Genomic DNA, 25245 nt, shown 5'->3' with positions numbered 1-25245 from the left:
CCATCCTAAATGTGCAACTGTTATCCTCATGGCTGCACCAAAACTAGATATTATACCTAGCTATCAAGCAGAAAGAAGTAAAAATAAAAAGCAAAAGAAGCTTTGCCTTTTTATTTCGAAGGGATGCCCTCTTTTTGGGCAAGCACTGGCATCACATTGGTTAGAGAAATGAGTTTTCAGTGGGACACCTTACTGTCCCAATCAAAATCTAGGTTTTATTTATAAGGAATATGGGGAAATAGATACTGGATAGGTAATAACAGTGTAAGACACAACAGTATTCAAACTTGGCCCCCATACAGTTTAGAGCCACACTCTGGGGATCTGATCATAACTGTATTTAATCATCATATTTTTGGTGGGGGGAGCTCTCAGAGTACTCACTTGTGTACTGCTCAAATATTTGATGCATACTAAGCATGGCATAGGCACTGGTGGCACAAAGATTAATGTGACGCTGCAGCGTGAGTATGCATTTTAATTAACATGTTTGTTAAATTTGTCATAAATTTTATTCAATTGAATTACTTACTAAATTATAGTATATTATTAGCAACTGCTGGTTGGTGCCTAGCTTCCTATAAGAACATAACTTCAAATAATAAGTGAATAATTCAGTTCAGTATAACAAATAAATATACAAAAAAAGAGGTAACAAATATTGAATATTATGTTTTCAACTAGATTTTGGGGCATCATGAAATGCAGACTTTGTTTCTAAAATCTGATAGTCTTTGCCAGTTAGTTCTTGAAACATCACTGCTTTCCTGTACATGCCATGGTACATGAACGACTTTTCCTATTTGACACTTGGATGAAAGGTCTCCAATGCCTCATTTGTTTCTCCTTCTTAGTGATGTATTAGGCTGAATCACTATTCAAAGACCACTTTCTGATTCAAACTATTTTGGCTGAAACTCTTTTGTAATGTGTGTCTCCAAATGAGACTGCCACATTTCGGTGGTACCTTTATGAGGCTGCAATTCATACACTCAATTTGGGAATGGAAGAGTCCTTCAGGAAATATAGAAGTAATAGAGGTTTTGGTTGGCTGGTGATTTGTTTCATGAGGGAAAATTGATGTTCACGATGGCCCTTAAGTTAAAACACTGCATTACCACAAGGGCAACATCTTAAACCTCCTGTAATCCAGAGGCTTAAATCACCTTCTTAGAGAATAGTTACATCATTTCCTTGAACTTTTTCTATATAAATTTAGACTTGGCTTCTAACAGTCATAAATTTTAGAAAAACAATTGATCAAATAACATCTCCCCATTCTCTAGGGTAGTAAGAGGAAGAGCCTATTTATTGATTACTCTTTCTGTAGTTACTGCTTTAATTCTGTTGGATGACATATTTCATTTTGAAGCTGGAAATATACAATTTTCTAGCATTTAAATAGTTTCTTATTGCAATAAGAAAAAAGCTGATGACTGTACATTTTATAAAGTGCTTGGAAACTCATGAAATCGCCAAACGAGTTATTTTTGATGTGTGCCATTTTGCTTCCTGGTAGAACTCAAAAGTAAGTCACTTCTTGCATCCTAACCCTGGAAATTAAATCTTAAGGCTGGAACCTCTGGGTTCTATAAAGAGGTTAGGGACAGTGATTTAGCCACATCCATCATCTTTTTTAAATCTGGGGAAAATTGTTCTCCAAAAACCATCAGTATAGCTAAATTATTTTGTGTTTTTCCTGAGATTATTAGAACTAAGCTTATTTCAGAAGGCTATGAACTTGTATAATTGTCCTTATCCACAAAAGTCTTGCCTGGGTGTCTTCTACTTAGAGTGTCTAAACTCCCCTGGCCTCAAGTTCTCAGATATGACCCTGGGAACTTCAGCTTTTCTTAGAGATTTATTTATTGATCTGTGGCATTATTTTCAGAAATTATTCTACATTAAACATGATTTATTAATACAAGCATTAGAGACTTGATTGTGATTAATAGGCCTGATATTCCTGCTGTGCCATACACCAGTAGGTCTTACCTCCTGAATAATTTCTAAGACAATGGGAAACTCAACAAAGAGGAATTAAAGAAAGCTAAACCATACTATCCCTGGCTTTCTGCAATTTGCCTATTTAATGATCTTTTGTCCTTACAGAACAGGCTGCTAGATGGTTTCATACTTCCTGCCTGCTGGTTCTGATTCAAATGGCCTTTCTGTTGATCTCTCCTATTTATTCCCCAATTCTGGAATATTCTTGTACTCCTCAGATCCAGTCGAATTCTTTCTTTCCTTTGATCCTATAAAAACTTGTTCATATTGTTTTTCCAACACCTTGTCTTCAATTATGCTGTTGGCTTGCATGGCTTGTATGTCCCATTTGACTGAGTCCTAAGACCAGAAATGCAGCCTACAATTTATTCCTGCAGTGTCTGTGCCTTGACAAGTACTCCGTGTTAATTGTGCTGAATCCACATTGGGCTTCTTTTTCTTCTCAATGATGTAGACATCTTTCTTTTCAATGAGACTGAACTGTAAGAAAGAAAAGTTTGAGACATTTCCTTATAATATTTTTTCTGTTATAATGGAAAAGATGAATAAAATATACTTTGTAACCTAAAACATGCTTAATAGTGCTTAAAAAGGATATATTTTAAAATCCAACATTAACACAGAGGCAATCTTCTCTCTCCATTAGCAAGAATTGGAAACATAAAAGTTACTCTATTCAGCAGTTCAAATAACCTCAGAGGTACCAGTGTGTGTGGTATTTGTACATCTAAAATAGTGACTTCATTATATGTTCATTTGCCATTTGTATTTGCAATATCTCAGGGAAACTTAAAAAGAATAAAATCCCAGCCCTGGAAGAAACTTCAAGGAATGGTTAGTCAAATAACAGATATTTTTGTAGGTTCTCACGAACCGGACAGAGAGATTCCACAAAAGGGCAGAGCACCATAACTACACCATAGATCTTAGACGATCACGAGGCATCCCAGCTACTCGGGAGCCTGAGGCAGGAGAATCGATTGAATCTGGGAGGTGGAGGTTGCAGTGAGCTGAGATTGCACCAATGCACTCCAGCCTGGGTGACAAGAGTGAAACTCCGTCTCAAAAAAAAAAAAAAGGAAGAAGAAGAAGAAGATCATGAAGTCATGAGGCAGACATGGTAAACATAGGAGGTGTGCAGCTCAGATCTTTCTTCAAGAAAGCCCTTACTGTCTAGATGCGAGGAGTGTGGTTCGCTGACATCCTCCAGCTTTTGGCTTTTTTAGTTTGCTCTTCCCTCCATTTTTGAACCAAGGTAACACTCTTCTCATGGTGGCCTTGGGCCAGAGACTGAACAAAGTGGTGCTACAATGGCCTAGTAATTTCCACCCATCACGGGACTCCTGTAATCAATAATCTTTGCTCTGGAACTCCCTACTGGGCTAAGAGAGACTTTGTCAGCTCCACATGGTGGTCTGTTCCTCCCCTTGCCTAAGCCAGCTTCTGCCTCATTTCTCTCACAGATTTGATTCCCTAATGGATGTGTGCACTCCTAAGTAGGTCTCAGTGTCTGCCACATGGCAAAATTAACCTGCACTCCTAACTCTGTTTCAGTTTTTGTCTTCTGGAGAAACCAAGCTGCAGCATAGCTCAATAATATAACAGGACAAAAGACCAGCCTCCTCTTGGAGGCAGCTGGAAGCCAATGATTGCTTGATGTGGACAGCACAAAGGTCTGGTCCAGCCCACTTGCTTTAATTAACATAACTCTGAAGAGTCATTCCAGCCCCGGAGCTCTCTTCCTTAGCTGACTTATCTGTTGCCACTGCATCAGATAGGGCTTTCTTCCCTTCTCTCACCTGTGGTTCTTGAGAACGCTCCACAGTAACCTCCTACATGGAATCTTAGGACTCAGGAGTGTTTCCTGGGGAACTGCAATATTAGGAAAATTCCTCTCAAATGTTAACCAATTACTCAAGGGTGTAGATGTGTAGATTTATAATAAGTTGTAGATAAACACATATATCCCTCTGTCTGTACTGAATTATTTTAAATTACAAAAATATACCATTACTCCTCTCTGGGACCCTCTTCCTGTCTGTGTACCTTCCTTCTACATACAGTCTCTATGCTGTGCAATAGCCATATAGAACTTCTTGCAGATCCCCAAGGCACATGCCACTGCTTCTAGTTCATGCATTGGTTTATGCAGTTTTCTTTGTTTTTGAATGCATGTCTTAGTTCATCTGAGCTGCTATAACAAAATACCATAACCTGGATAGTTTATAAACAACACAAATTTATATTTAAGAGTTCTGGAGGCTGGGAAGCTCAAGATCAAGGTGCTGGCAAATTTGGTGTCTGGTGAGAGCCCACTTCTTCACAGATGACACCTTTTTGCTGTGTACTCACATAGTGGAAGGGACAAAGGGTTTCTCAGGGACCTTTTTATAAATGTGCTAATCCCATTCATTAGGAATCTGCCTTTATGACCTAAATACCTCCCAAAAGTCCCACTTTCTAATACAATCACCTTTGGAGGCAGGATTTTAACATATATATTTTGTATATTTTGGGGAGACACAAGCACGCAGACCATAGCAATGCAACTTTCTGTTTACTTAGAGAATTCTTCTTCCTCTTCCTGCAAGGCGCAGTTCAACCAACTTCACTGAAAGCTTTCATTGATGCCCTCAAAATGATTTGATCATTTCTATTTTTTGCCACACTGTACCTAATATATGCTTCTGGATTTTTAATGATCACGAAAAAATAGGAAAGTAAGACGGGAATAAAATATTGCAAGAGAGGCAGGCGGATCACTTCAGGTCAGGAGTTTAAGACCAGCCTGGTCAACATGGCAAAACCCCGTCTCTACTAAAAATACAAAAATTAGTCAGGTTTGGTGGCGCATGACTGTAATCCCAGCTACCCAGGAGACTGAGGCAGGAGAATCGCTTGAGCCCAGGAGGTGGAAGTTGCAGTGAGCCGAGATCGCACCGCTGCACTTTAGCCTGGATGACAGAGTGAGACTCTGCCTCAATAATAACAAAAATAATAATTGGAAGGGGAATGTCATAAATGTTTTTAAAGCATCTTCAATTTCAGAAGATATCTTGGCACATATGTTCAGAAAGCAGTTGAAAATGAGAATCTCAATATACATATTTGAGTATCATTGCTTGTTAGCACTTAAAGAAAATTATAGAAAGCATAATTGGAGTTCGATCCATAGTGAAATATATGCTGGAAGCAACAGCACTATGAATAGACTCTGGGCACAGTCCAATGATTAAGATAACTGTAAGTTGGAAATATCTACTCCTATTTTTTGAATCTAGATGCATTGCCTTAGAAACGGGAATCATGATTGACCTGACTAGGCCACTCTCCTTTGGGATTACTTTTAATAATTTAAACAAATTTCCAAGTGAGTTTTTCTGAGGAAGGGATAGTTGAGGTTAAGAAATTCTAAAACCACAAACCATTTCAGGCTACGAATAGTTTAAAGATTCAACTTCATGATTTTGAATCAGTCAACAAAGTAATAAAATGGAGGCATGTGCTAACCACTTCTCTCTCTCTCTCTCTCTCTCTCTCACTCACTCTCTCAGTTCTGGAGGCTGAGAAATCCAAGATCAAGGTGTTGACAAATTTGGTGACTGGTGAGGGCCCACTTCCTCACAGATGTCACCTTCTTGCTATACCCTCACATGGTGGAAGGAACAAGGGGTCTCTCAGAGGCCTTTTTAAAGAAGTATTATTAAATGTTTATATGTATACGATTAAATGTATATATGTATAAATACATATATGTATATATAACACATACATAGTCTATATATAATATATAGCGTGTGTATATATATATATATATATTCTCATTATATGTCCTACAAACCCATGAGGAAATGTAACCAGCTTATTGAATGAGGGCATCATGGTAGAAACAAGCAGAAAGCAATTTCATTCTATCTCTGTCACTTCAAATTTGCTCTCTCTCTTCCTCTTTTAAAGGCTTGTGGAAGTGTAACAGATATAAAATAAATGGCATATATTTCAAGTGCTCAATTTGATGTTTTGGCATATGTCACACAACTGTGAAACTACCACTATGATGAAAATAGTAAGTGTATTTATTACTTCTAAAAGTGTCCTTGTGATTCTTTGCCATCCCTTTCCCCACCCTTTCTTGTCTTACATCATGCAAATACAAACCACATTCTGTCACAATAGATTAGTTTGCATTTTCTAGAATATTATGTAAATAAAATAAAATCATATGCCTTCTTTTTTACCTGGCTCACTTTATTCAAAATAATTTGATATTTATTCAGGTAATTAGATGTGTCAACAGTTCCTTCTTTTATATGGTTGAAAAACATTCTATTGCATAAATATTCCACATTTTTTTAATCCACTCACCTGTTGAAGAACATTTGGATTGCTTCTAGGTTTCAGCTGTTTAAAATAAAGCTGCTATGAACATTCATATACAAATATTTGTTTGAACATATGCTTTTATCTCTCTTGCATAAATGCCCAGTGGAATAGCTGAGTCATAGGAAAGATATATGTTTAACTTTTGAATAAATTAATAAACTGTTTTCCAAAGTGGCTGTACCATATTTCATTACAAATAGCACTGTGTGAAAGTTCCAGTTGCTCCACAGCTTTGCCAACACTTTGATTAATCTTTTTAATTTTAAGCATTCTGATGGAAAAATAGTGGTATCTAATTGTGGTTTTAATTTTATTTCCCTAATTATAAATAATATTGAGTATCTTTTTATTCATTTATTTTCCATCCATGTATTTTCTCTAGTGAAGTAACTGTTTAAATTTCTTACCCAGTTTTTAGATTGAGTTCTCTGTGTTCATTTTGTTGTGTTTTGAGAGATTTTTGTATATTTTGGTCACAATTCCTTAATTGGTTACAATTCCAATATGCGATTTTCAAATATTTATTCCAGTCTTTGACTTGTTTGTTTATTCTCTTATCAATGTCTTCCAAGGAGGAGAAATGTTTAACATAGATTAAGCCCAACTATTTTTTTCATGTTTTAATTTTATGGATTATTCTCTTCAAGTTACATCTAAGAAATCTCTGCTTAAACCTGGGTCATAAATATTTTCTCCTACAAGTCTTATATTTTAGTTTTGTATTTATTCTGTGATACATTTTGAGTTAATTTTTATAAGGGTACAATATATGAATCAGGTCTCATTTTTTTTACATGTAAATATCTAACAATTTTAGAACCATTTGTTGAAAAGCCATTATTTTCCCTACTGAATTCCCTTGGTACCTTTGTGAAAATATCTTGACCATGTAAGTGAAACTCTATTTTTGGACTTTATTTTCTCTTTTATTGATCTATACATCTGCTTTTATGCCATTACCACTCTCTCTCGATTATTATAGCTTCATAATATGTCTTGAAACTTAGGTGTTGCATGTGTTCAGACTTTCCTCTTTTTAAAGCTATCTTGACTATTCTAGGTCCTTTGTTTACATGTAAACTTTGAATCAGCTTGCCAAGTTCTACAGTAAAGCCTGCTATTATTTTTATTGGGATTTAATTAAATCTAAAAACCAAACACCACATGTTCTCACTGATAGGTGGGAATTGAACAAAGAGAACACTTGGACACAGGAAGGGGAACATCACACACCGGGGCCTGTTGTGGGGTGGGGGGAGGGGGGAGGCATAGCATTAGGAGATATACCTAATGTAAATGACGAGTTTATGGGTGCAGCACACCAACATGTACATATGTAACAAACCTGCACATTGTGCACATGTACCCTAGAACTTAAAGTATAATAAAAAAAAATTAAAAAGTCAGTTTGAAGAGAACCAACATCTTAATAATTTTTAGCTCTTCCAATCCATTAACACAGTATCACTCTATTTAGGTATTTTTAAAATTTTCTCTCAGCAATTTTTGCAGTTTTGAGTGTACACACTTTAAAATGTTATCAAAAATGTTTCTAAATATTTGATAAATTTGGTGCTGTTATAAATGACAATATTTAAAAAAAGTTATTTTTAGAATTTTTTGGGTACGTAGTAGGTGTAAATATCCATGAGGTACATGAGGTGTTTTGATACAGGCATGCAACGTGAAATAAGCACATCATGAAGAATGGGGTATCCATCCCCTCAAGCATTTATCCCTTGAGTTAAAAACAATCCAATTATATTAAGTTATTTTAAAATATACAATTATTATTGACTATAATTACCTGATTGTGCTATTAGTTTGTCTTATTCATTTTTTTCTATATTTTTTAGTACCCATTAACCATCCCCACCCTTGCCCTCACCCTACTCCCCTTCCCAGCCTCTGGTAACCATCTTTCAACTCTCTATGTCCATGAGATCAATTGATTTGATTTTTAGATTCTACAAATAAGTGAGAACATGTGATGTTGGCCTTTTTATGCCTGGCTTATTTATTATTTCACTTAACATATTTTCCAGTTCCATTCATGTTGTTGCAAATGACAGGATCTCATTTTTTTTAATGGTTAAATAGTACGCCATTGTGTATATGTACTACATTTTATTTTTCCATTCATCCGTTGATGAACATTTAGGTTGCTTCTAAATCTTGCCTATAATCAATAGGGCTGCAACAAAAATAAGAGTGCAGATATATCTTCAATATACAATTTTTGCTTCTTTTAGGTGTATACCCAGAAGTTGGATTGATGGATCATATGGTAGTTCAATTTTCAGTTTTTTGAGGAACCTCCAAACTCTTCTTCATCTTAGTTGTACTAATTTACATTCCCGCCAACAGCGTACAAGGCCAAATCCTTTCCAGCATTTGTTATTGCCTGTCTATAACATTTTAACTGGAGTGAGATGATATCTCATTGTAGTTTTGATTTGCATTTCTCTGATGATCAATGATGTTGAACACCTTTTGAATGTCTGTTTGATATTTGTATGTTTTCCTCCGAGAAATAACTATTAAAATCTTTTGCCCATTTTTGATTGGATTATTAGATTTTTTTCCTGTGGAGTTGTCTGAGTTCCTCATGTATTTTGGACATTAGTCCCTTGTCAGAGGGGTAGTTTGCAAATATTTACTTCCATTCTGTGGGTTGTCTCCTCACTTTGTTGATTGTATCCTTTGCTGTCCAGAAGCTTTTTAACTTGATGTGATCCCATTTGTCCATGTTTTCTTTGGTTGCCTGTACTTGTGGGGTATTTTTCAAGAAATCTTTGCCCAGACCAATGCCTGGGGATTTTGCCCAATGTTTTCTTGTAGTAGTTTCAGTCTGATGACTTAGATTTAAGTCTTTAATTCATTTGGATTTTATTTTTTTGTATATGGTGAGAGATAGGCATCTAGTTTTATTCTTCTGCTTATGAATATCCAGTTTTCCCAGCACCATTGATTGAAGAGACTCTTTTCCCCAGTGTATGTTCTTGGCATCTTTGTCAAAAACAAGTTCACCATAGATGTGTAGATTTATTTGTAGGCTCTCTATTCTGGGTCATTAGTCTATGTCTGTTTTTGCCAGTACCATGCTGTTTTGGTTACTACAGCTCTGTAGTATAATTTGAAGGCAGTTAATATGCTTCCTCCTGTTTTCTTATTTTTACTTAAGATAGCTTTGGCTATTCTGGGTCTTTTGTGGTTCCATATAAATTTTAGGATTTTTGGGATTTTTTTTTCTGGTTTTGATTTGTCTTTTTCTGGTTTTGATATTAGGGTAATACTGTCTTAGTAAAATGAGTTTGGAAGTATTCCCTCTTCCTCTATTTTTCATGATAGTTGGAATAGGATTTGTATTAGTTCTTCTTTAAATATTTGGTGGAATTCAGCAGTGAAGTCATCAGGTCCTGGGCTTTTCTCTACTAGTAGACTTTTTTTATTTTTTATTTTTTGAGATGGAGTCTCACTCTGTCACTCAGGCTGGAGTGCAGTGGCACGATCTCAGCTCACTGCAAGCTCCGTCTCCTGGGTTCATGCCATTCTCCTGACTCAGCCTCCCGAGTAGCTGGGACTACAGGCACCTGCCACCATGCCTAATTTTTTTTTTTTTTTGTATTTTTAGTAGAGACAGGGTTTCACTGTGTTAGCCAGGATGGTCTCGATCTCCTGACCTTGTGATCTGCCCACCTCAGCCTCCCAAAGTGCTGGGATTACAGGCATCAGCCACCGCACCCAGCCTCTACTAGTAGACTTTTTATTATGGCTTTGAACTCATTGCTTGTTTTTGGTCTGTTCAGGTTTTGAATTTCTTCCTGGTTCAATCTTGATAGTATCTAGGAATTTATCCATTTATCTTAAATTTTTCAATTTATTGGCTCATGGTAGCAATGATAATGTTTTAAAATTTCATTTTCCAATTATTCATCACTAGTTTATAGAAACACAATAAATTTTGTATGTTTCATTTCTTACTCTGCCATCTTGCTAAATTCACATATTGGATCTAGTAACATTTTAATAGACTCCATATAATGCTCTATATAGACAATTATGTCATCTGTAAATAGACTTGTTTCATTTGCTCTTTTTCCTTTCTGGAGGGCTTTTATTAATTTTTTTCTCACCTTATTTTACTGACTAGGACCTCTAGTGTAATGTTGAATATAAGTGCTGGCAGTGGACATCCTTGCCTTGTTTCCAATATTAGAAGAAAGCATCTAGCATCTAGTCTTTTACCATTGTGATGTTAGCTGTAGCTTTTCTTGTAGTTATGATTATCAGGTTGAGAGGGTTCCCTTCTATTTCTAGTGTGTGCACAGTTTTCATTAAAAATATATGTCAGATTTTGTTAAATGTGTTTTTATATGCATTGAGATGATTGCATATTTCTTTTTTAGTCTTAATATGGTGAATTTCACTGCTTTTCCTATGTTAAACTTACCTTAAACGACTGCCCATAAGTCTCTTCTGAAGGATGAACTTCTGCTATTCCATTAATTCATGTGCTATTTATTTCATACTTCCTGAGAATTATGCTCTATGCTACATGCTGGGGATCCACAACTGAACAAAATCTCTGCTGTCAAGAAACCTATATTGCAGTTGGGTATCTAGGGTAAATAGTCAATAAGCAAGTAAGCCAACAGAAACTATCTCAAGTATAGATTATTTCAATTAAGAAAAATATAAAGAGTAAAGGGATGAGGAAGTGAGGCTGGTGATGTGCCCCTTTTTGGAAGGTAGCCAGGAAAGAGCTGATGAGATATTTGAGCAAATACCTGGATAAAACAAGGGAGTAAGCCATTCAGACATTTGGAGGAAGAGAATTTCAGGCAGAAAGACAGTAAGTGCTAAGGTGGGAGATGGTGCTGTGTTTATGAAACTGCAAAGAGATCACTGTAGCTAAGTTGGCATGTGGGAACATACCCCTGCCTTATTGGTGTTGGTGAATACAAATAAAATTTGAAGACAGAAGACAATTTACTTCTGTGTTAGAAAATTCAAATATATACCATTTGCTGATATTTCAGTAAAATATTCAAATTGACAATACAAATATATTGCTATGTAGTTAATCTTCCTTCCTAACATTGACATCATTCTTTATTAGTCTTATCTGGGACATAAAAGCTGAGCATAACAGCATTAATATGTGCAAGTTTATCTCTTGACCAGTCTTGGTCACATATTACTACTTAGTTTCTAATAATGTTTTATTGTTAAATTTTTCCATGTGAACTTTTAGTTTTACTTGCTCTGATATTGTTTTGTTATTTAATAGATTTGATGCTTCAAATTTCAAGTGTGAAGGCTACTGTAAATATTTTTTAAAATAAAGATTCCAAATTGATGAGTTCATTCTTTTCACACACTCTTTCTCAAGCAGGAGTTATTAAGTTTTTAAGGTGTTTTTGAGAAAGCTTTCTGAGGACAAATAAGTACATGTAATGCTAGTAAAGAAATTGTTAATTATTTTTCTTAGTTGAAACTTTTTGATATTTATTAAATGCTAATGTAGATTGTGAATCTCCAAGAAAAGAATATCCCATTCACAACAGAAAACCTAACAGCCATAGGAATTTGTCATCACCAGAACAAACCTTGAAGAAACTTTCCTGGAAAAGCAAGGACTCTATGTTCTGTTGAGTTCTCCTTTAAGTTGTTGGGAACAGTGAACAACTGGCATCTGGATAGTACATCATGGGATCACAATCAAAAGGTCAGAAATGGTACCATTAAAAATTATAAGCAGAAGCTTATAAATTTTTATTACTCACTGCTTTTAATTAACCTTTAAAAGCTATTCATGAAGGAATGCATAGGTCTTGGCTTCTGAAGAGAGCAGGATTTAATACAGCTATGTTGTCTAATGAGGACTGGTGGATGTCTCTCTTCTGCAGTGTGGCTATGACATTTCAATTTCAACAATGCCATATGTAAGGAACATGGCTGTGCTGCAGCCAAGCAGGCATAGGGCAGCAGGCATAGGCCAAGGTAAACAGCCTGGATGACTCAGCGAGTTTGTAGCACAGGCGCATAGTCCCATGCCTTATATAATCATAGCCATGTTGACATAACATAGAAAAGCACCCAATCTGGCTCTCAGCCACTATTGTTTGTGTAGTGTATAAATGTAACACTGACCCTGAGAAGAGGCTTCTGAATAAAGCCATGTCTCATTTACCTGCTGTCTCTCAAGTGTTCTTCCAGCTCCCTGCCCCATGTCCACCCACTCCCCTCAACCCTCAGCTGGGGCTGGAACCTGACCCTCAGCATGACACCATACCTAGTCAAAGTAGCACTAACTGAGCTTCAAAGTGGGCAGTATGCACAAAGATATTATTTTGTACTCTTACAAGTTTCATAATATTACTAATTTTTGGGATATAATTCCTATAATTACATCATCAGGCAGGCAGTCCAGTTCCAAACTCTGGTTAAGGCCTTCTATAAACATGTAGAATAATCTCCCATAATAAGTGCATAACTTGTCTTTGAGGGAAAAAATGATTTTTTAAAAAAGATAGTGTATTCATTTTCTTTTGTAGCATAACAAACTATCACAAGCATAGCAACTGAGAACAGCACCCATTTATTACCTAATTGTGTTTTAGGGCAGGAATTAAGGCACAAATTAAGCGGGGGTCCTCTGCTTAGGGTCTTATAAAGCTGTACTCAAGCCGTCAGCTGGGCTGGGTTCTCATGTGGAGGCTCAACTAGAGAAGCATCCTCTTTCAAGCTGACTGTTGGCAGAATTCATTTCCATGTGCCTCTAGGACTCAGAGCCCTGGCTTCTTGCTGGAAATTAGCTGGAGACTATCTTGAGCTGAGGGCTGTCATATGGGCCTAAGGAGACAGTCTCCAGAATAATTCTGATAGCAAGATGGAATCCTATATAATGTAATGTAATCACAGAAGTGACATCTATCACCTTTGCCATATTCTACTGGTTAGAAGCAAGTAACAGGTCCTGCCTCAACTCAAGCAGAAAAGATTATACAAAGACATAAATACTGGGAGGCAAGGATCATGGAGATAGGAGGAGGGGGACCCCTGCAGTGTGTTTACCACAAAGAGCATTCACATTAACAGATAATTGAGATCATTAGATGGATTATTAATATAGTACATTGAACAAATGTTAGTTTTGAATCCAGGTAGGACCAGCATTGAAATCTGGCTTTAACACTAACAGCATATTTATATGGCATTTATTACCTCAGTATCTTGGTTTGGCAAGGCAAGGTAAGGCATTTACTACCTCAATATCTTGGTAAGGCATTTACTACCTCAGTATCTTGGTTTCTTCACCTATAGAGTGCAGAGTTATTGAAAAAGTAAAATCAAATAAGATAATGTATATTAAGGGCTAAATGTGTGGCATGGAATGAATGTTCAATAGTAGTAGCTGCTTCTAAAAGTAATAGTATTGATGAAAATAATAAAATCCCACACATATTGATTGATAATGGAAGTCTTTTTTCTTTTCCCCTTTAGCAGATATTAAAATATATTTGATACGTATTTTATTATGTATTCTTTTGTATCTTCCAAATATAATACAAATTATAATTTCAAGATTCATCAATCTGCTTTGTACATTGGTAGTCAACTAATTTTTGTTTCTGTATACTATTCCAGTGACTGGACCATAGTATATTTATTCAACATGTACTTATACATTATTTGGTTAATGGACATTTAGACTGTTTCTGGGGGTTTTTAATTAAACTCTTATTAACAGTGTGTATTAGTCAGTTTTCATGCTGCTGATAAAGACATACCCAAGACTGGGAAATTTACAAAAGAAAGAAGTTTATTGGACTTACAGTTCCACATGGCAGAGGAGGCTTCACAATCATGGCAGAAGGCAAGGAGCAGCCAGTCATGTCTTACGTGGATAGCAGCAGGCAAAAAGAGAGCTTGTGCAGGAAAACTCCCCCTTACAGTAACCATCGGATCCTATGAGACTTACTTTCTATCACAAGAACAGCATGGGAAAGATCTGCCCCCATGATTAAATTACCTCCCTCCAAGTCCCTCCCACAAAACATGGGAATTCAAGATGAGATTTGAGTGGAGACACAGACAAACCATATCATTCCAGCCTGGTCCCTCTCAAATATCATGTTCTCACATTTCAAAACCAATCATGCCTTCTCAACAGTTCCCCAAGGTCTTAACTCATTTCAGCATTAACTCAAAAGTCCACAGTCCAAAATCTCATCCAAGACAAAGCAAATCACTTCCACCTATGAGCCTATAAAATCAAAAGCAAGTTAGTTACCTCCTAGATACAATGGGGGTACAGCCATTGGGTAAATACAGCCATCCAAAATGGGAGACATTGGCCAAAACAAAAGGGCTACAGGCCCCATGCAAGTCTGAAATCCTGTGGGGCAGTCAAATCTTTTTTTTTTTTTTTTTTGAGACGGAATCTCGCTCTGTCGCCCAGGCCGGACTGCGGACTGCAGTGGCGCAATCTCAGCTCACTGCAAGCTCCGCCTCCCGGGTTCACGCCATTCTCCTGCCTCAGCCTCCCGAGTAGCTGGGACTACAGGCGCCCGCCACCGCGCCCGGCTAATTTTTTGTATTTTTAGTAGAGACGGGGTTTCACCTTGTTAGCCAGGATGGTCTCGATCTCCTGACCTCATGATCCACCCGCCTCGGCCTCCCAAAGTGCTGGGATTACAGGCGTGAGCCACCGCGCCCGGCCCGGGGCAGTCAAATCTTAAAACTCCAAATGATCTCCTTTGACTCCATGTGTCACACGCAGGTCACGCTGATGCAAGAAGTGTGCTGCCATGGTCTTGGGCAGCTCCACCCCTGTGGCTTTGCAGGGTACAGCCTCCCTCCCAGCTGCTTTCACGGGCTGGTGTTGAGTGTCTGTAGCTTTTCCAGGTGCACAGTGCAAGCTGTCGGTGGATCTACCATTCTGAGGTCTGGAGGATGGTGGCCCTCTTCTCAAGCTCTGCTAGGCAGTGCCCCAGTAGCGACTCTGTGTTGGGACTCCAACCCCACATTTCCCTTCCACACTGCCCTAGCAGAGGTTCTCCATGAGGGCCCCATCCCTGCAGCAAACTTTTGTCTGGGCATCCAGGCATTTCTATAACTCTTCTGAAATCTAGACAGAGGTTCCCAAACCTCAATTCTTGATTTCTGGGCACCCACAGGCTCAACACCACATGTAAGCTGCCAAGGCTTCGGGCTTCCATCCTCTGAAGCAACAGCTTGAGCTGTACCTTGGCCCCTGTTAGTCATGGCTGGAGTGGCCAGGATGCAGGCCACCAACTTCATAGATTGCACACAGCACAGGAACCCTGGGCCTGGCCCATGAAACCATTTTCTCCTAGGCCTCCTAGTCTGTGATGGGAGGGGCTGACAAGAAGACCTCTGACATGCCCTGGAGACATTTTCTTTACTGTCTTGGGGATGAACATTAGGCTCCTCATTACTTATGCAAATATCTGCAGCCAGCTTCAATTTCTCCTCAGAAAATGGGCTTTTGTTTTCTATCACATTGTCAGGCTTCAAATTTTCTGAACTTTTATGCTCTGCTTCCCTATAAAATTGAATGCCTTTAACAGGACCCAAGTCGCCTCTTGAATGCTTTGCTGTTTAGAAATTTCTTTCACCAGATACGCTAAATTATCTCTTTCATGTTCAAAGTTCCACAAATCTCTAAAGCAGGGGAAAAATGCCACCAGTGTGTTTGCTAAAACATAGCAAGAGTCACCTTCGCTCCAGTTCCCAAGAAGTTCCTCATCTCCATCTTAGACCACCTCAGCCTGGACCTTATTGTCCATATGGCTATCAGGATTTTGATCAGAGCCATTCAACAAGTCTCTACGGTTCCAAACTTTCCCACATTTTCCTGTCTTCTTCTGAGCCCTCCAAACTGTTCCAACTTCTGCCTATAACCCAGTTCCAAAGTTGCTTCCACATTTTCACGTATCTTTTCAGCAGCACCCCACTCTACTTGTACCAATTTACTGTAATAGTCCATTTTCATGCTGCTGATAAAGACACACCTGAGACCGGGCAATTTACAAAAGAAAGAAGTTTATTGGACTTACAGTTCCACACGGCTGGTGAGGCTTCACAATCACGGTGGAAGGCAAGGAGCAGCCAGTCATGTCTTACATGGATGGCAGCACACAAAAAGAGAGCTTGTGCAGGAAAATTCCCCCTTATAATAACCATCAGATCTTGTGAGACTTACTCTCTATCATGAGAACAGCAAGGGAAAGACATGGGAATTCAAGATAAGATTTGGGTGGGGACACAGCCAAACCATATCACAGTGCTACTATTAACAGGAAGGAAACAACCCATAAAATAAATATGTTCATACCCCAAGAGCTATTTTAAGCCCTTTGAAAATAGAAAATCATTCACTGAATATTTATTAAGCATCAAGAAAAGTATTATATGCCAAGGACCAACGGGAGGACATTGCCTTCAAAGAACATCAAAGCTTAATGGGGGAAATATATTTTAAACAAAAGTGACTAGACAGAAGGTCAGGTCCCATCCATGGTAGGGTGACCAACTATCCTGGTTTTCACTGTCCCAGTTTTTGCATTGGAAGTCCCACATCCTCCAACCCTTCAATCCCAGGCAAACTTGAAACCTGTAGTAGGAGACATTTATTTAAGGATGTCCATGATAATGTTGTTAGAATAGATACTGGTCAGTAAATAATAGATGTCTAATAGATGAAACTGGAGGTTAAATCACAAAAGGCTTCACAGAAAGAAATCTGTATATCAAAGAGATACCTGCACTAACATGTTTATTGCAGCACTACTCAGAATAGCAAAGATATAAAATCAACCTAAATGTCCATCAATGATGAATGGCTCACAAAAATGTGGCATACATAAACAAAATGGAAAACTATTCAGCCATAAAATAGAATGAAGTAATGTCATTTGCATAAACATCAAACTGGAGTCATTATCTTAAATGAAATAAGCCAGATACAAAAAGGCAATTATTGTATTTTCTCACTGATATGTGGGAGCTAAAAAGTTTGGTCACCTAAAAGTAGAGAGTAAAGACAGACAACAGAGAATGGGAAAGGTGAGTCAGGGAGACGGGGAAAGATGAAAAGGACTGGTTAAATGGTACAAACATACAGTTAAATAGAAGGAATAAATCCAATGTTTGATAGCAGAGTGACTATAGTTAACAAAAACGTATTGTACTGGGGTAATGGACACCCTGAATACCCTGACTTGAAATCACTCCATGCTATAAACACATAAAAAAAGTCACACATACCCCATAAATTTGTACAAATTTTAAAAAGAAAGGCTTCCCAGAAGATATATGTAAATAAGCAGCCTAGGAATACAGCTACTATTATCAAGGCAAAAAAGAGAGCCAGGAAATGGATTCTGACCAAAGAATGTCACATGAGGCAAGGAAGTGTTAAATCGTATTCAAATTCAAGGAATTCAGTGGTTCAGTACTGTTGGAACCTAGACTGCATATAGGGAAGAGGCAAGAGTTGCAGCTAGAGTGGTTGGTAGCAGCCACAGTGACAGGACGTTTATGTCTTGCTAAGGATCTTGGAATGCTAAGCATAACTGAGTGACAGGATTGGAGCCTGAGATCAAATCTATCTAAGACATCTCACTCTAACAGAGTGGAAAGGGGACAGACTGGGTGACTGGTGTGTTATAGTTCTTTGTTCCCCCATAGATTTCCTGGACAGCTAAATAGGGCTTGAGTCAATAATTTTTTTTAAGAAGAAATTAAGCATAAAACCAAACCAAACCAAAACAAGAAAACGACAATGGCAATAGGCATAGTGTTGTGCAGCAGATCTCTAGAACTAATTCATTTTGGTTAACTGAAATTTTGTACCTGCTGAATAGTAATTCCCAGTTACCCCCTCTTTTTAGTCCCTAGTAACTACCATTCTACTCTCTGCATTTAAGAGTTTTACTGTTTTACATTCATCATATAAAAGAATCATACAGTATTGGTGTAAGGTTCTTGTATCAGTTCGAACACCAAGAGTGCGCCAGCAGACAACACAAGGCAGTGTGGAGCAACATGCTGTTTTTTTTTTGTTTTGAGACGGAGTCTCGCTCTGCCGCCCAGGCTGGAGTGCAGTAGCGCCATCTCCCCTCACTGCAAGCTCCGCCTCCCGGGTTCGCGCCATTCTCCTGCCTCAGCTTCCCCAGTAGCTGGGACTACAGGCTCCCGCCATCATGCCCGGCTAATTTTTTGTATTGTTAGTAGAGACAGGGTTTCCCCCTGTTAGCCAGGATGGTCTAGATCTCCTGACCTCGAGATCCGCCCGCCTAGGCCTCCCAAAGTGCTGGGATTACAGGCATGAACCACCGCGCCGGGCAACATGCTGTTTTAATGAGCGCCTGGGTGCAGGCGGGCTGAGGCCTAATGGCGTCAGCCCCCAAGTGAGGAGGGGGCAAAGGTTTTATAGTCTCCTGGAAACAGGAGGTGTCCTATTCTGAGGTAACTGCTACGTTGTACCTGGATGGCCTCTTTCTCTATCTTCACGGGTACGTGTCTTCCTGCCAGGGTAGGTGTCTTCTTGCTGGCTCTCTTCCTGCTTCTGCTACCTTGCTGACGCACGCTGCTGACGCAAGTGGCCTTGCGTCTTCCGGCTGGGCCTGAGAAGGGAGGAGTTTTTCATCTACTTAAGCTTTCAGGCCCGGGAGAGCTTAGAACTGGCCCTTCTGTGTCTCATTTATTTAACTTAGTATAATGTCCTCCGTGTTCCTTCATGTTGTTGCATTGCAGAATTTCCTTTTTTTAAAGGCTGAATAAAATTCCTTGTCTGTATATACCACATTTTCTTTACACATTTATCCATCAATGGACACTTTTCCACATCCTGGCTGCTGTAAATAATGTTGCAATGAAAATAGGGGTGCAAATACTATCTCTTCAAAATCTGAGTTTCAATTCTTTTAGATAAATACCAATCAGTGGGATTGCTGGATCATACAGCAGTTCTATTTTTAAGTTTTTGAGGAAACTCTATACTATTTTCCGTAGTGGCAGCACTATGTTACATTCCCACCAACAATGTACAAGGGTTCCAGTTTCTACATAACCTCACCAACATGTATCTTTTTAATAATGTATTTATATTCATCAATGATACTCTATTGTACACTTAAAATTTGTTAAAAGGGTAGATCTCATTTAAATACTCTTACTACAATGAAAATAACAATTATAAAAAACACCAAAAATATCCTAGAGAGGTGGAATATATATAAATATATATATATATATATATATATATATATATATATATATATATACTTTTTCCAATTAGGTTTTGATAAAACCAGTTGATACTCTGGACTCACATTTAAAATGTTACTTTCATGATCACTCAGCATATTGTGGGAGATAAAATCAGCAATTTCACCCACATAGGCACACACCTACATGTACACCCAAAATGGCCTTGGCTGTATTAACGTTTCAGTATCACCAAGATCTATCAACCTACTAGCCATGGCCCTATAGAAACTCAGAGATCAGATGCTGGTGTGGCTTACAGGAACTCTGGAAGTTCCACTAACCACATGGCATCCACAGTGTCATAAATATCTGGCAAGGCCCCTGACAAGGTCTATGTCAGGGAAAACCTTATGTAGATATCATGTCACATCATTTTAATTTCTTCTAGCGTTTTCTCCCAAGTTTTTCTCTTCTCATCACCATGACAATGCCTGTTGAAAAACTGAGTCAAAAGCAGGATTTCCAAAATGTATCTTTCCTGGGATTTTTATCTTATCGTGTGCCTTACAACTAGGTAGGCTGAACACAGCCTATGTCCCATAATGGCATCTTTCAATCAGTTATCTAGACTTTGCCTGCCAGACTAGTGAAACAATCTTCCCTTTTCCTTATCTGTATCCTGCTCACAGGGGTGGTTTAGGATGGACAGAAAGATAAACATAGACCTACACACTGGTCTGAGTCACCTTTTAAAGTGATTACCTGGGAAGATACGAAATCTTCTAGGTAGACTTGTGGTCTCTTGGCTTCATGGAGAATGTGAATGGAAGCAAACTTCTACCATCTTAATTCACTCTACTTCTGTTGAATATCAGGTTTTTGTAATACCAGCCTTCTGCAAACTTAATATTTTAATATCTTTTAAATAAAATGAGTTGAACTCTTGAGCTAAGAATAGAAAGTATCAGGTGTCTTTGCAAATGTTTTACAAGAGTTTTATGCATAGGCTATACACAGTATTTTCAAAACGTGACCCTGAAGCAATGTGACTGTTTCCCAGGCATAGGAGCTGGGTTCCTTTCCAGGGAGCATTGCCTCCTGTGCAACAGCCAGCTCTTCTCTGAGGATACTCCCATCAGGTGAGACTTATGCAGAACTCAACCATAGCACATTCTGGAGCTGATGTCTGCATGTCTTCAATGGCAGCAAAGCTTAAGCTCTTACAGGCAGACTTGGTATTTGTAAACAACCAAAGGTCATTCATTCAGAGCCATTTTAATTGAATGAGAGGTGACTGTGGAAAAGAAGGCTATGTGTGGTTGATATGTAGATGAGAGTCTGATGCAAAAATGGTTATCGTATGTTGCCTCTAAACCGTCTCTGAAGACAATTTGCAAAGATGAACTGCATATAAATTTTGATAAGTATGACAGTATAGAAATGAGCACAATGTGTCTCTATGACTCTTTGTAGGATACAATACTTATGTTAGTGTAAAATCCAGGCATATATGGTAAAAGTATATTTTGCGTCTTCATAGATACTTTTATGCTATGTTGGCCATGGGGCTCTGTGATACTTTATGTGCTTGCTTTCTTATTAGTACCATCCAGCCATGGTCCTTTTTAATCAAGGAAACTAGACTCATACGTCCAAAGATCAGGAAATGAATAGAATCAGTGTAAACTCATTTTAAAGAGAATAAGCCAATTAGCATTTAATTGGATGATTTAGAATCTGAATCAGGGCTCATTAGATTAGTATTTATGAGCATGGGAGGTTTTGCATAATTGCTGTATAATTGTGATTCTTGCTTTCTACGATGAAAGAAAAGTGAAAGATTTCATTATAGTCACCTTCAAGGAAAGAAACATTTTCTTTTCTTTTTTTTTTTTTTTTTTTTTGAGACAGAGATTCGCTCAGTCGCTCAGGCTGGAGTGCAGTGGCGCGATCTCGGCTCACTGCAACCTCCACCTCTCAGGTTCAAGCGATTCTCCTGCCTCAACCTCCCAAGTAGCTGGGATTACAGGCACTGGCCATCATGCCCAGCTAATTTTTGTATTTTTAGTAGAGACGAGGTTTCATCATATTGGCTAGGCTGGTCTTGAACTTCTGACAGGTGACCCACCTGCCTTGTAATCCCAAAGAGCTGGGATTACAGGCATGATCCACTGCGCCCGGCCAAGAAACATTTTCTTATTCCTTCTTTCTTACTATTTCTGTCATGAAATTCAGTTGCCTTTCATGCATCTTAAGAACTCCTATTATTGTTTTCCAAAAATTTAGAAACCCATTCTCCTACTTTTGCGTATATTGTTATATTTGGCTTTAAATCTGTTAATAATAAAAATTTCTAAGATAGGTAGATACCAGTTTGTTTAAACAGTATGCCTTTTGTGCACAAAGAGTTTGGCACTAAATTTTTAACAAAATATTCATACATTGTCATGTAAAATTACGAGAAGTCTTTCACATGCTAATTCTTATTTTATCCTAACTATATTGGTACAATATTATTCTACTTTAAACATGAGGAAAATAAAGCTTAAGAAAGTTCAATGCTTGCTGTAGGTCACAAGGGCAGTTAACGATGGAGCCCAGTTTAGAAATGGGTACAGTCCTTAATACTGGCTTGTTTCCCAGCATTGTCCGTAACTTCCATCCACATTCATAACAACTTCCTACCTTCTTCTCATCCTGATTCTGAGCTCACAAATAAAAGACAATCCAAGCTTGACAGTTATTTTTTATTTACTCTCTGCTTTAGCCTAAAAAAAAATTGGTGTGATTTTCAAAACATGTAAAGTAAAAAATGGAAATAAGCCATAAAATTGGGTAAAGGGAAAAGAAGTTAGGAAAATTAAGATGATGCTACTGATTCCGTTGGTGTCAAATAGATGCACTGTAGCTGTGTTGCCTTGGGAGGTTCTAGCAGTCACTTAGAGGATGGAGTCAGTCTTTTTCTCTTTTTTACAATTTCTAGCCTTAATAAGATGAAAACAAACCAGTGGTTGAGGAGAAGCACCAGCACCTCTGGTAGTAGAAACTAATAATTTTCTGTTCTGTTGGATTCGTGAGGAAACAAAAATGTGCCCTGCTTGCAATCAGTGATGGTTCTAACCAAAACCAACCACTCTTTTCGATGGATGCAGACATGGTCAGAGGAAATTTAGTGATGCTTCCAGTAACAACAGTGTTTCTAGCTAAACAAAGGCAAGGCTGTGCTGCAACCATAAAATGACTCACATCCCCTTTTCTGAGTGATCTCTGCTTCCTTGCAATGACAATGTGATTTTAGTTTTCATTGTCCCTGCTTCTGGGGGACATCATTGAGATACCCATTATCGAATTGCCTCTCTTCTCTGATAGCACCCAACTTACTTTCATAATCTGTTCTCAGAGCCCTCCAACACTTGTCCAGAGTCCATAAGAAGCCCCTTCTAGTTTCACTTTACTAAGATGCTCCTAATGGTTCCCTGGGTATGTTCTCCGTTGCCATAGCAAGCTAAATAAAAAAACTGTGTATGTTGTGTGATTATAGGTGTTTTTTTGATATCAATTGATTGGTGAGTTTTGGCGGATGTCAACAATACAAGACTAAGCCAGGTGTGGTGGTTCAAATCTGTAATCCCAGCACTTTGGGAGGTTAAAGCAGGAGGATTGTGTAAGGCTAGGAGTCCAAGACCAGCCTGGGTAACATAGCCAGGCCCCATGTCTACAAAAATTAAAAAAAAAAAAAAGTCCAGTGCAGTGGCATATGGCTGTAAGTCCCAGAGGCTGAGGCAGGAGGATAGCTTGAGCCCAGGACTCCAAGGTTACAATGAGCTATGATTTTGTCACTGCACTCCAGCCTGGGCAACAAGCACCACCCGGTCTCAAAAACAAAACAAAAACAAAAACAAAAGACTATTTAATGGAGTTAATGGAGTCAGAATTACCCTCAACAGTATGTCCAGAATAAATAAAATAAATTTCATATGCCAGTTTCTTATAAAGCTCCTTAATTTTGGCCAACATCATTGTACTTAAAATCATAATTTACCAGCAATAATGTAGTAGAGTAAAACAAATTTCAGATAATGTTACTTAATCCAGAGAAGCATTTGATAGCTACGTTTAAAAATGTTTTATAAGAAAACCTGAGAGAGCTTGATTTATATTACATTTGTGAAAAATATTTTTATGAAGGTGTATATATATATATATATATATATATATATATATATATACCTGTATATACATATATACAGGTTGAGCATCCAATCATAATCCAAAATCACAAAATCTAAAATTTTTTTGAGCCCTGACATGATACCAGAGGTGGAGAATTCCATACCAAAGTGCTTAACACAAACTCTGTTTCATGTTTAATAAAATTATTTAAAGTATTTTATAAAATTACCTGCAGCCTATGTGTACAAGGTATGTATGAATCATAATGCATTTTGTGTTTATACTTGGGTCCCATCTTCAAGATATCTCCTTAGGTATATGCAAATATTCCAAAATGCAACCAAATCTGAACTCTGAAAACTTTTGGCTCCAAAAATTTCAGATAAAGGATACTCAACCTATACTTTAAAATCTTGTTAGCCTTTGCAACATTCTCTTTATAACAGAGTAACTAACTTTGCTTATAATCATAACTTGGTAAACATCATTTCACAATGAGCTTGAGTCACACTCAAATTTCCAGTATGCTTTGTGACTGGAGGAGTTACTTCAAGGCCTTCGCTGAAATAAAACTATATTTAGAGTCAGAAAAAACATTACCAGTATGCCTCAATCACAAAAATGGATTTGAAATGGGAGCCATTTAATTCATATCAGAGGGGAAACAGCAATTCTAATACACTCACCCCATAAAAATTCATGGGGAGATATTTGCTTTTTCAAAATTGTATATAAGCCTGGTTTTCAATTTGAAGCTTATTTTTATTTTTTGAATGGTAAACCATAATATCTACCATCTTGTAGGTGCGATATTGTGAAGTATATATTTGGTGTTTAGTTTCCTGGCATACTGCTTCTTTTTTTTTTTTCAGGCAGAGTCTCTGTCACCCAGGCTGGAGTGTAGTGGCATGATCTTGGCTTACTGCAACCTCCGACTCCTGGGTTCAAGCCATTCTCCTGCCTCCGCCTCCTGAGTAGCTGGGATTACAGGTGTGCACTACCACGCCTGGCTAATTTTTGCAGTTTTAGTAGAGATGGGGTTTCACCATGCTGGCAAGGCTAGTCCCAAACTCCTGACCTCAAGTGATCCATCCGCCTCGGCCTCCCAAAGTGCTGGGATTACAGATGTGAGCCACTGTGCCTGGCCCTGGCAGAGTGTCTAAGAGTGCCTTTAGTCATGCTAATGAGATGACTAGGTTTGGGAACCCCTAGGTAGCTTCAGGATTGGGGCTGGTGACCAGAAAGACCAGGGCATGATTAGACAGTTGGAACTTTGAGCCCCACATCTCAACCTCTGGGGAGGGGAGAAGAGCTAAAGGTTGAATTGATCGCCAGTGGCCAATAATTCTATCCATCACGCTTGTGTAATGAAGCCTTCCTAAAAACTAAAAATATCTTGGTTTGGGGAGCTTCTGGAGAGCTGACTATGTGGAGGTT

General features: G+C 38.2%; 1 long non-coding RNA gene across 1 annotated transcript; it reads right to left on the bottom strand.

The window, feature by feature from the left end:
• Positions 1-98: 98 nt before the first annotated feature.
• On the bottom strand, positions 99-19026 carry LINC02616 (long intergenic non-protein coding RNA 2616). Its single transcript, NR_134669.2, has 2 exons — positions 18910-19026; positions 99-2487 (listed from the first exon to the last, which is right to left on the bottom strand). It is a non-coding gene; the product is annotated as a long intergenic non-protein coding RNA 2616 (long non-coding RNA).
• Positions 19027-25245: the final 6219 nt, after the last annotated feature.

This window comes from Homo sapiens, chromosome 4 (genome assembly GCF_000001405.40).
Source record: "Homo sapiens chromosome 4, GRCh38.p14 Primary Assembly".
NCBI classification, from domain to species: Eukaryota; Metazoa; Chordata; class Mammalia; order Primates; family Hominidae; genus Homo; species Homo sapiens.
The sequence above is the reverse complement of the archived record's forward strand: the minus strand, read 5'-3'. Positions and strand labels throughout refer to the sequence as shown.